The following is a 12,229-nucleotide window of genomic DNA, read 5'->3' as shown; positions in this document are numbered from 1 at the left end:
TTACTCTTATTCTTTCCTTCTACAAAGTTCCTCCTCCAGATCTATCTTTCCTCTTCACTCTAAACTCAAATGTACCTTTGTTGCCTACCCTATCTGTCCCACTCTTTCTCTGTATTTTCTTCATGTATTTTTGTGTTTTTCCTGTCTGTCTTCCCAAATTCACATTTATATCCTCAGGTTGAGCACCGTATTGGTGCTTATTAAAAATCTGTGGAAGGATTGAACATGAAGCTGAGGATACATGCAAGGAAGGTCTTTTAAAAATACCTTTGGCGCAATAGGGTTTTCTTTTCTTTTCTTTTGTGTTTAGAGACAAGATCTTGTTTGCTCCCAGGCTGGAGTGCCGTGACTCGATCATAGCTCACTGCAGCCTCAAGCTTCTGGGCTCAATCAATCCTCCCTCCTCAGCATCCCAAGTAGCATGGATATCAGGTTCGAGCCACCACACTCTATTAATTTTATTTTTGCAGACAGGGTCTCTCTGTGTTACCCAGGCTAGTCTCAAACTCCTTGGCTCAAGCAATCCTCCCGCCTCAGCTTCCCAAGGTGCTGGGATTACTGTATGAGTCACTGCTCCAATAGGGTTTTCATTAGATATGGAGATAACATTTTAGCTTATGTGTCTCATTCTCAATTGATGCTGTCTTCCCCTCACCAACTTCCCTCCCTTTTCCCCTTTCCTCTTGTCTATTGCCTCCTTCAGATCCTCTCTTAAATATCACCTCTTCCAAGAAGTCTTCCTGGGTGGATCTTTTGAAATGCATCCTTCTCTGGTCCGTATCTTTTCAAAACAAAGAGTCTCAAGGTAGACTATGATCCCAAATGTATTAGTACACAAGCAGAGAGAACAAATTTATGCTTGCCTATCATAGTGATGGTTACTTTGGAGGGTGGGTCTAAGGAGGCTTCTGAGAGGCTGGGATTGCTCTTAACCAGGGTGCTAGTTACTCCAGTGTGTTCAATAAGAGAACGTTAATTCAGCTGCACACTTAGAATTTGTGCCCTTCTGTATATGCGCATAATGCTTCAAGTATAAAAAGCAGTGCTCTCAAACATATTTCAGCCAGCTGGGGTGATTTAAAAAATTCCAGTGTCCAGGCCTTACCCCAGACCCATTACATCAGTCTGTGGGGGTGGGATTCAGTTGACAGTATTTTTTAAAGCTCCCAGGAGATTCCAATGTGCGGCCAAGTTTGAGAGCCAGTGTACCATACGATGTTGCCCTTGAGGATGTAAGTCATGCCTTCCTCTTATGTCATTTAACTCGTTCAAGATATCCCTCTTCCCAGCAAGTATTTTGTGAAAACTTATAGGTAGCAATCTCTCGTTATTTTCTACTTTCCCAGGAAATCCCCACCATCACGTTGGGGAGAGTAAAACAAGAGGAAGTCCCAGATCATGGAGAGTGACAGGAAGAAAATAAAGCAGGGTGTTGAGAGTGTTGAGATAGAGAGTACGGGGGTGGGGCAGAGCCCACGTTAGGGCTGGGGTCAGGGAAAGGCTCTGGGAGGAGGTGACATTTAAACTGAGATCTGGAAGCACCCAATCAGGATCCCAGCCCTGAAATTGGAAGAGATGTCTGAGCTTCAGGAATAGAAAGATGCAACTGTTAGAACTGAGATCGAGAGAAGCAGCCAGAGAGAGGGAAGCAGAAATGAGGCAGGAGAGATGGACTGGGAATAGACCACTGAGGAGGTCAGTCATCATACCAAGTTTGAACTTTATTCTTCCAGCTATTGATCAATGCAATTCATTTACTTACAACCAACCCAGGAGAAACTATGTCTGATTTAACTGGGTGCAAATTTGCTTTCTAAAAACAGGTGAGGTTGATGACAATAAAATTCGGGAATGCCCAAGCATTGGCAAGCTTGCTTCTAAGAATAAATCCTCCAAGAGTTACTAGGCACTCGTTTTTAGAACTATTTTGATTTGGTTAGGTGTAGAATTTTGCAACAGCAATTAAGCATTATGTATATTTTAAAGGGAATGATTGCTGACTGGGCCGATTGGGGCCATGGGAGCTGTTAGATTTAACATATATCACATTTCTCCCTTGGAGTTGGCTACTTACAGTCAGTGACAGTGTTTGCTGCTCCTGAAGAATCCAAACCAAGTCGCTGGCCCAGTAATCCATTGCTCAACTTCATTAACCACAGGAAGACATTAAATGAATGTAAGGACGGGAGCAGCCTGGAAACCATGTGATAAGCAGCCTTTAAGTTCTGGTATATTTTATGCCATCTCAACTGTGCATCAAGCTCTACTTCCTGGACTCATTAGAACTGTGTGCCCAAAGGTGCCCCTCAACTTTCAGAAGCAAATAGAGAAGGATATAATTCGCTCTGAGAACACCTTTCTGTCTTATCCAGAGCATGTCTTATCTATTATGATTAGGCATTAAGCATCCTATTGTCCTTAAAATTTCATGAGATTCTACCCCTGCTTGCTAGGATTATGTCAAAGCGTCTTGTCTTGAAGGCAACAATACAGCTTGTCTTTTTTCCTTAACCATTACTGGGCACTCCCAGGAGGCTAAGGAACCCATGGGCTTAACATGGTTGAATAGTCTAGGGCTGTTGCAAACTCTCTTTCTAGAAAGATTGCGTCTTGCTTTTGCTTCCCCAAGAAGCAGACTCTGAGATAAAGATTTGTGTGCAAGTAGTCTGTTTGGGAGTTGATTCTAGAAAACTCCAGAAGGGGAGTAGGAAAGTGAGTAAAGAAAGGGAAGGTGGCTGGTACAGGTGTGTTAACAAGCAAGTTATCACTGTGGGCCACTGGAGCTTAATCCTGCTAGGAATGCTGGGAGGTAGTGTAGATTCTGCACTTTCGAGATGTCTCTCCTAAAGGGTGAGAGAGCTGGGGTATTCATCCACCTACTCCTGCCAGCCATTGGGTGAGGGCCACTTCTGGCCTTCCCTGGAGGCAAAAGAGATGGGTGCTGGCAGTTCCTAGTAGAGTTGGTGTGTGAAGAAATGGGCAAGCAGGCAACTTCTGTTGGAGTAGAATACCCTAAACTGTGAGCTTTCTGAGGGGAAGGAACAAGACGGTCCTCTTCCTGCAGCACCTCTACTTTTTGGCATAATGCCAGGCACACAGTAGACCTTCAATAAATATCTACCAAGTGCACCAGTGAGTTCAAAATGTTAGTTCCATGCCTCTTTTGGTTGCTCTCTCCTGTCCAGTCCTATTGTTTATAATCTGTAGTTTGCACTTGCTTACAAGTCTTTTGTATTCCCTGATTTGGTCAATCTTCACTTTCCCCAAAAGTGAGCTCCTTCAGGAGCAGGGGCCTCTTTCCTTTTCCCCATTGTATCTCTAGTAGGGCCGCAGAGCTCTCATTATCATCACAGTTTGAGTTTTTAAACAAAATAAAAGACATGCGGTCTGACATTTATGAGTGTGTTAAGCATAAAATGGGGGCAGAAGGTTTCAAATTAGGATTGTCCCAGAAGTCTTAGGACATATGATCACTGTGTACAGATCAGGTAGACTTCATGACAAAAGGTAAGTTTGGGTTTGGAATCAAAGAAAGCAGCACTTTAAAAAAATTCACCATTTACTAAGACCTCAGGCAAATTGTTTAGCCTCTCTGGGCTTCCGTTTTCCCATCTGTGAAATGGGAATAATTATATCACTGACTATTACCAGTAGAGAGAGACTCACATGAGCAAATATAAAATACTGAGCATTATACTTGATACATAGAAAGTACTCCCCAATTTTTAGTTTTTTCATTATTTTATAAACATTTGTTGATTGTTGTTTACAGAGTGTTTTCAGATATATCAGAGGTCCAATCTAATCTGAGCCGAAGAATAACATTCACTTTGGCTCAATCCCCTACATTTGCAAGGGCGCCAATTTACAAAACCGATCAGGGAAGCTGGTGTCCTCATGCAGGAAGTACAGACAACAGAGTACAAGTTCAAGCCAATGGAGCAGAAAGTTCCTGCTGCAGAGGGTTCCTGCTAGCGTCCTCTTCCCTCCACAGGCCGACCCACTGTCTCCACTCATATTCATTAAGCACCTGCTCCGTGCCAGGTGCATGACTGGGTATTGGGGATGTGGCAGAAAAGAAAGCACCTGCGTGGCTCTTAGGGAACTTAAACATTGAGGGAAAGACAGGCAAATGATGGTCATGATCATAATAGCAACTGGCATTTCCAAAGCACTTGGTACCAAGCGCTGTTCTAAGCACTTTACAATATGAACTCCTTAATCCTTAAAACAGTTTTGTTGTTGTTGTTTGTTTTTTGAGATAGGGCTTCACTCCATCACTCAGGCTGGAGTGCAGTGGTGCAATCCCGGCTCACTGCAACTGCCAGCTCCTGGGTTCAAGCAATTCTCCTGCTTCAGCCTCCCAAGTAGCTGGGACCACAGGTGTGTGCCACCACACCTGGCTAATTTTTTTGTATTTTTTTGTAGAGACAGGGTTTCCCCATATTGGTCAAGCTGGTCTTGAACTCCTGACCTCAAGTGATCCATCCGCCTTGGCCTCTGAAAGGCTGGGATTACAGGTGTGAGCCACCGCACCCAGTCCTTAAACCAGTTTTTGATAAAGTGCTTTTGTTGTCCTCATTTTACATATGAGGAAACTGAGGCACAGGAAGGTTAGGTAACTTACCCAAGGTTATGGCGATAGCAAATTGGGAAGCCTGGATTCAAACCTGGCATGCCTCCAGTTGTTTTATTCTTAACAACCATGCATTACTCCCTCTTGACAGTGTTGCAGCCACAGTGAGTTTTATATCCCCCAAATCCAGGTATTTCTTGCATTGCTTTTCCCTGCTTACATTCAGCAACTGAGAATTTAAGAAGCCTCAGTTCTTAAACATTAGCACCCATATTATCTCCCAGGGCATTAAGACAGATTCATGCACCTCACCTCTAGAGCTCCTGGTTTAGCAAGTCTGGGGTGGGGTCTTAGAAGGTGTATTTCCAACAGGCTCGTAGATGACACAGCAGCTGCGAGTACACAGACCACACTTTTGAGTTGCCACAAGGGTGACTTTGCTCTCCCGGGTACACTTGACAAGTCTGGAGACATTTTTGGTTGTCACGACTCAGGGGTTGCTACTGGCATCTAGTGGGTGGAGACCAGGGATGTTGCCAAACATCCCACAGTGCCCAAGAAAGAGGCCTGCAAAGAAACAATGATCTGGCCCTAAATGCCAACAGTGTCAAGGTGAGAACCTCAATGTAGAGCACAACCTCACAAACCTTCATGTGTATAGGAAACACCTGAGGATGTTGTGGAAAATGTGGGTTCTGATAAAGTAGGACTTGAGTGGTGCCTCAGATGCTGCATTTTTTTTTTTTTGAGACAGAGTCTCACTCTGTTGCCCAGGCTGGAGTGCAGTGGCGCGATCTCAGCTCACTGCAACCTCTGCCTCTCAGGTTCAAGTGATTCTCCTGCCTCAGCCTCCCGAGTAGCTGGGATTGCAGGCGCCCACCACCACACCTGGCTAATTTTTGTATTTTTAGTAGAGACGGGGGTTTCACCGTGTTAGCCAGGATGGTCTCGATCTCCTGACCTCGTGATCCGCCCACCTCAGCCTCCCAAAGTGCTGGGATTACAGGCGTGAGCCACCGCGCCCGGCCAGATGCCGCATTTCTGACAGGCTCTAACAGGGGATGCGAATCCAGGGACCCCACTTTGAGTAGCAAAAGCTAGAAAATATCTGTCATAGGTGGAGGTCTTGAATCAATGCTTAGGGCACCATGGACTTCTAAGAAATAAAACCCACATATCATCTTTCATTAGTTCAGAACAAAAGTAACTCTGAATTTAAATAATCCTCTTTCAACTCTCCCTGTCGTAAGTTTTGCCCTTAGAAAAGTCCTGGAGAAGAGGGGCTTGGACGGACAGAATCCTCCATCCCTCTCCTCCAAGCCGTCAGGGGCCTATTTAAAATGAGGAAGGACAGAGCTTAGTCACAACTGCCTTGCTTCAATCCTGAAACATCAAGTCGAGTCTATTGTTGCCTGGAATCATGGCTTCTTTCCAAGAGCTGCACATTGACAGTGGGGTTTGCATCTGCCTGACATTTAGGTCTGCAAATGCGAGATGAAAAAGTGGCTGTTTTTAAAATGGTTGCTCTCTTGGGAAAGGGGTATGGGAGAAAATGGACTCTCTGCGTCCAGCTCTCCAGAGATGGCACCCCAGCCCCAGTGATAAATGGCAGCATTAACAAGGTTTGGTTGAGAGAGAACCTACAGATTTATGACTTCCTGTGTCCGCCAGCAGATGTCATTATGGCTGACAGAACAGAAGGCCTTTCAAGAGCGAGCTGGGTGGAGCTAAGAAGAGGGGGGAAAAATAAAATAAAAGGCAGTAGCCAAAACGAGTGTTTGCTTAGTGGTGCTATTGTTGATACTGTCATTTTAGGGACACAGCGAAGTTTTATGCTAAACTGAACATATTGTGATATCACGGAGGTCCTGCTTCTAAGATTTAGACAGAAACTCTCAAATGAAAGGCGAAGTTACTGGCTTCACTCAAATAAGAAAGCCTACAGGTTTTTTGTTCCTGGCCTATTTGTAACCTTACAAATTCTCTAGGATAAAATGGACACTTTGCACTGAATAAACATATACTTACCCTGCAATACCATTTTTGATGAGTTTTAAAATATATTCATTTTATAAATTCAGCAGCTTGTTCTGAAATTCCTTTGATGTACATATAATCTCATCCATGTTAATAAATTGCTTTATAGGATGTCACTGGTATTTTAGGTGTCAGAAAATTTTGTGGTATTGAAAAATGGTATAAATTTGGCATTCATCATGGGCCCCAAACCCATATTAACAAATACAACTGCTAACACATACTTAGCAATAATTATAGGTCACATGTTTATATTTCCTCCTTTTAATCTTTACTGAAGATTTACCTTCAGTATGTAAAGAAAGCATTTTTTTTTCCAGTTGACTCTCATCTAATGGACACTGGAATGTGTCCCTTGGTCTCAGTGATCAGTGCCCCAAACTGCAACCAGAAGGAACAGCTCTGGTTACAGATGCGGGACCGTCTTTAGATCTGTCATCAACAAATCATCCCCCTCGTGACTGCATAGCCAATGTGACTTGGCAGGAATTGAGTCATGGAGAACTCCTTGGAGGACTTGCAGAGGACGGCAGTAACAGACTCTTTTCTGCCCCTGGTTTCTCAAAAAAATAAATAAATACAATAAAATAAACCAACAAAAACTCATTTTAAGAAAAAACTTGATTGAGAGCCTTCTATCATTAATCAATAGCCATACAGTTAATATATGTGTTGTGGTGAATATCTGATTTCATAGAGATTTTCAAAATAGCATGGTGGGTAAAAAAATGGCTACCTCTGTCATGCCTTTTGCACACCTCTTCAGAGTGGTCGTGTGGTGATTTACTGACAGACCGGGCTCCAGAATCTCACTCTGAATTCTTTTCCTGGTTCTTCCACTCACGACTTGTATGATTCTGGCCAAGTTAACATAAGCTCTTCAAATCTATTTTCTCACCTGTAAAAGATGGACAATAATGGCACCATTTGCTTAGTGCTTTTTCTAATGAGGGTTGAACACTTGTTTGTGAGGTAGTGAACCAAGTGTCTGGCACAGAGAGGAGCTCAATACATTAGCTACTGTTATAATGATTAATGTTAAAATATATTCCCTCTTTATTATTTCACAGGTAGACACGCAAAGTTATAGACTGATTCATTGGCCACCCAGAAAAGAAATCCAATAATAATAGTAATAACTTTAATTGTAGCTGTCTTATATTGAACACATACTAAGTGCCGGACACTGTCCTGAATACTTGACATGTAAAATCTATTGAATTTAATCCTTACAGCAACTTTACGAGATCAAGTATTATTACTTCCATTTTACATAAGAGGAAACACAGTTTGGATGGTTTAAACCAGTGGTTTTCAAAACTGAGCAAGCATCAGAATCAACTGCAGGGCTTGTTAAAACACAGATTGCTGGCTCGCCTCCCCAGAGGCTCTGAATTTGTAAATCTGGTCTGGGGTCACAAGATGTTCACGTGAACAAGTTCCCAGGTGCTGCTGCTGCTGCTGCTGCTGCTGATCCAGGAACCCCATCTGAGAACCACTGATGTAAGTAACTTGTTCAATGCTACACAATGAGTAAGTGACAGAATGAGTTTTCAAATTAAAAAATTTGAATATGTTGAAAATATTTTTTATTTATTTTTCTTATTTATTTTGAGATGGAGTTTGATCTTGGCTCACTGTAACCTCTGCCTCCTGGGTTCAAGAGATTCTCCTGCCTCAGCCTCCCAAGTGGCTGCAATTACAGGTGCGCACCAACACGGCCGGCTAATTCTTGTATTTTTAGTAGAGACGGCGTTTCACCATGTTGCCCAGGCTGGTTTCAAACTCCTGACCTCAAGTGATCCACCCACCTCGGCCTCCCAAAGTGCTGGGATTACAGGCGTGAGCCACTGTGCCTGACCTGAATACATTTTTTAAAATGTAGTTTTAACAAATACCTATATTTCTTCAAATTTCCTAACATTCAACCTTTCAATTAATTGTTGATTGTTGAATTCACAAAGGGCAATGGTTTGGGTAGCTGCTTGTTTGCATGAAATGCCCTGTTCCATAATGTTCTTCATGGCCCAAAACAGTTTGGGATTTCCTAGAAGGGGAGAATTTTGGGATTTCAGAGCAGCATCAAATCCTTAAATCAACCCTACTTGACCACTCTTGAGGTCAGAAGTCCTACTGGGTTGTAAGAGAACACCAGGGCTGTGACCCACCCCAGCTGGAAAATTCATTAGGAGTTCCAAGGTGGAGCCCAGCTGAGCCAGCCACACCTGGGCACCATCTGTGCCTGAGAGGCCTGGCGTTTCCTTGGTCCCTAGCCAAGAAGGAGTCTCAAAACATAGCCCATCTGGACATCAGAAGTCTCTGGAGATGCCTCCGTTGACTGTCTAAGATCCAGATGCCTCCACTGCCCAGGTGAGCCACTTGCAACCAGTCAGCCCAGGGGACCATTGGTACAAAGTGCTGTCTGGAGTCAGACTGAGATGTGCTTTGACTCATATCAGAGAGTTTGGGAATGTAGGAGAGAGACCTCCAGAAGCCCTTGAAGAGAGATATGAATGGAGACAAAAGATGCAGGCATAGAGCCCGGGTAAAGCCCTTAGTGGATAAAGTAATCCAGCAAAGGTCATTGGTGTCTTCCTTTTCAGTTATAAATGAAAATAACCGGAATTCAAATATACAGCCAGGAAGAAGTGTGACTACTCAAGGACTCGAAGAAAACAGATAAACTGAAGAAAACAGGTGACGCCTTGGACAGAGAAGATGCTGGCTGGTGGAAGACGGGGAATTCCTATTGCTGTGATGGAAGATGGAGGAATGGGGACCACACTGGGTTTACCATCAGGAGCCTGGGTTTCCAGTGCAGTCTCTGTAGAGAGTGGGCCAGATGATTTTTGAGGCCTCTTCCTCTTCTGACATACATAGATGTTACTTATTTATACACTCATTCATTCATTCATTCAGCAAATATTAACTGAGCACATTGTTTGGGGCAGGTATTGTTATAGACACCAGGATAAAATCACAGAGCCCAATCTTTTCTCCCATGGAGCTTACTCTCCAGTGAGAAGAGGAAGATAATATATAAAATAAATTATCTAGTATATTAGGATGTGATAGGAGCCATGGAGAAAATGAAGGGGAGTAGACTTGGGTTGTAATGGCCTATATGGTGGTATGGTTGAGAAATGGCTGACTTCCATTCCCAGTGACAGCATTTATCACCATCAATAACTACCCTTTAGTTACAAAGGAGAGAAAATTAAGTCAAATTGGCCTAAGGACAAAAGGAAAAATTTGGCTGCATATAACCCAGAAGTCCAGCAGTTGATAGTTTTAATGGACACTGCTGTTTTTCCTCCCAGCATTCACGCCATCAATCCTTTCTGATATAACTCAGATTTTCCTGTGGGTATCTAATGCTTTCTCATTTGACTTCTGTACTTCCAGAGAAGGAGACCCCACCCCCAGCTCCAGGGCTTAAGCCAATCAGCGCATTCCCTTCCCTCACTGATCACAGTGATTGGTTCATATGTAAGAAAGGGCCCAATGGAGCAGAATCTCAGAAATGCGGCTTGGGAGCTTTTATTTACTGATCTAGGAGGGAAAAAATTGTTACTGGCAGCTATCTCATAACTATGAGGAGGCCTGGAAATAAAAACCTAGGATCTTGATGGCACCATTGATCCACTGAATAAACACACTCGAGTACATCTATCTTATGACTAGATGTATAAATGAGCCAAAAAACTTAGAACGCTTCAAGTTGGGCTTTCTGTTATTTATAATAGATAAAATATCAAGTTCAGGCACAGTTACATCTAGGTGCTCATCAATGACGTCATAGAGCTCCAGTTTCCTTCTGTGAGGGCTTCACTCTCAGCCTGGCTGCCCCCACAATGATCACCAGCAGCCTCATTCCTGGCAGCACTCGCCAAAGCTCTGCACTCCTCCTCCCTGGGTTACCTTGGTTCATGTGCCCATCTCTGAACGCAGCCCTGAGGTCAGGGGGATAGAATGGTGATGATTCAGGGACAGATGCTCTCTCCCGGGGCCAGGTCTGCCACCTGCTTCATTTGAATTACATCGTTGGAGAAAGTGGGTTGTTCAGATTAAAGAGATGCTACCAGAAAGGTGGTTCATGGATGCTGGAAAATCAGAAATCATAAAAATTCACTATAATACCTCACTTCCGACTTTGGGGTCTTACTTTCCTTATGTGTAAAATAAAAACGTTAAGATAAAGTGATGTTCCCCAATAATTTTGCTATCAAGGATCTCCTCTCTTGCCTTCCTTCGTTGCTCATTGTGGAAACCTAATTAAACTAAACTTGAAAGATTTTTGTCTATAATTCATCCATTCTTCCATGTACCACTCAACACACTGTTATGGATTGTCCACTACCTTCCAGTTTAGTTCTAGCTCTGTGATTACAGCAGTGAAAAAGGTTGGAAGTAATGTGATCCGTTCTGCTAAATGAAATATAATGGGAAGTCTGCTGGTGGTTTTCTTCCTAGGTTAAAATATCAGAGCTTTAGAAGAAAAAAGTTTCCTGTTCATGCCCCTTCTTCTCTGCTTGATATGTTGGTATGAGGATGTGATGCCTGGAGCTGGAACAAAAAATTTGCAACCATGAGGTGGACATGCATGAAGACAAAGAATTAGCATGAGCACTGAGGAGCAGGAGGGACAATCAAAGCCTGGGGCCATGATGGTTTGCACAATCCTTGGCCTTCTGTGTTGAATCTAGACTTATTCATCCAGGCTTTTTATAAGGTGAGATATGGCAAGTCTTCATTTTTTAAGGCTCAGTTAAAAGTATTTTGTTACTTGCTGTCAAAAGCATTCTTGATTGATACAGTTAGATTCAGTAGAAGTCCCCAAGCAACTTATAATCTGAAGATGTCCAGTGAATAGAGAATTGCAAATGTCGCGAGTGTCCTGAAGAGGAAGTACAGGAGCTTATATCATGGGCATCTAAACATTCAAATAAATTATATTTAAAAAGTAATAAATTTTTCTACTACTTTAGAGAATTAGATCAGAGATAGACAGAATTTTTCTTAAAGGACCACGTAGTAAATATTTTGCCATTGCAGGCCATACTGGCCTCTGTTGCAACTACTCAACTCTGCTGGTGTAGTATGAAAGAAGCCATAAGCAATATGTAAATTAATCAACATGACTGTATTCCAATAAAACTTTATTAACAAAATAGGCTTCTGGCTGGATTGGGCCATAAACCATAGTTTGCTGACTCCCGAATTAATTACATGCAACTGAGTATGCAATAAAAACAGACAATCAAGTTTAGCTTGTAATACTTAATAAAATATGGAAATACTTTAAAAATTTTGCTTTGCAAATTTCCCAGTGTCAGGTCTTTAAGCTCACACATTCTGTGAGTCAGTGATTCCTCTTTCATGCCTTCGCCTTCTCCCACAGATGTGGATTGAGAAGTGGGTTGGCTGGGCAGCTACCCAGGGTACCAATCTCTAATGAGCTTAGGAACACTAATGGAAGGAGTTGAGAAATCTATGTTGGTTCTTCTCTAATGAAAACATATACCACTGTAATATGAACCAGGCAAAGATACAAAAACATCACATTTATTAGCCCTGAAATGCTTCTGCTAAGATTTTGTAACTAACATACACTGC

General features: G+C 42.7%; 1 long non-coding RNA gene across 1 annotated transcript; it reads left to right on the top strand.

Annotated features, from left to right (window-relative positions):
- Positions 1 to 8,229: 8,229 nt before the first annotated feature.
- LOC124904932 (uncharacterized) lies at positions 8,230 to 10,907 on the top strand. The gene is made up of 2 exons (XR_007067655.1): positions 8,230 to 8,318; positions 9,217 to 10,907. It is a non-coding gene; the product is annotated as an uncharacterized LOC124904932 (long non-coding RNA).
- The last annotated feature ends 1,322 nt before the right edge of the window (positions 10,908 to 12,229 follow it).

The sequence above is a fragment of the Homo sapiens genome, chromosome 20, assembly GCF_000001405.40.
Source record: "Homo sapiens chromosome 20, GRCh38.p14 Primary Assembly".
NCBI lineage: Eukaryota > Metazoa > Chordata > Mammalia > Primates > Hominidae > Homo > Homo sapiens.
This window is presented reverse-complemented; position numbering and strand designations above follow the sequence as displayed.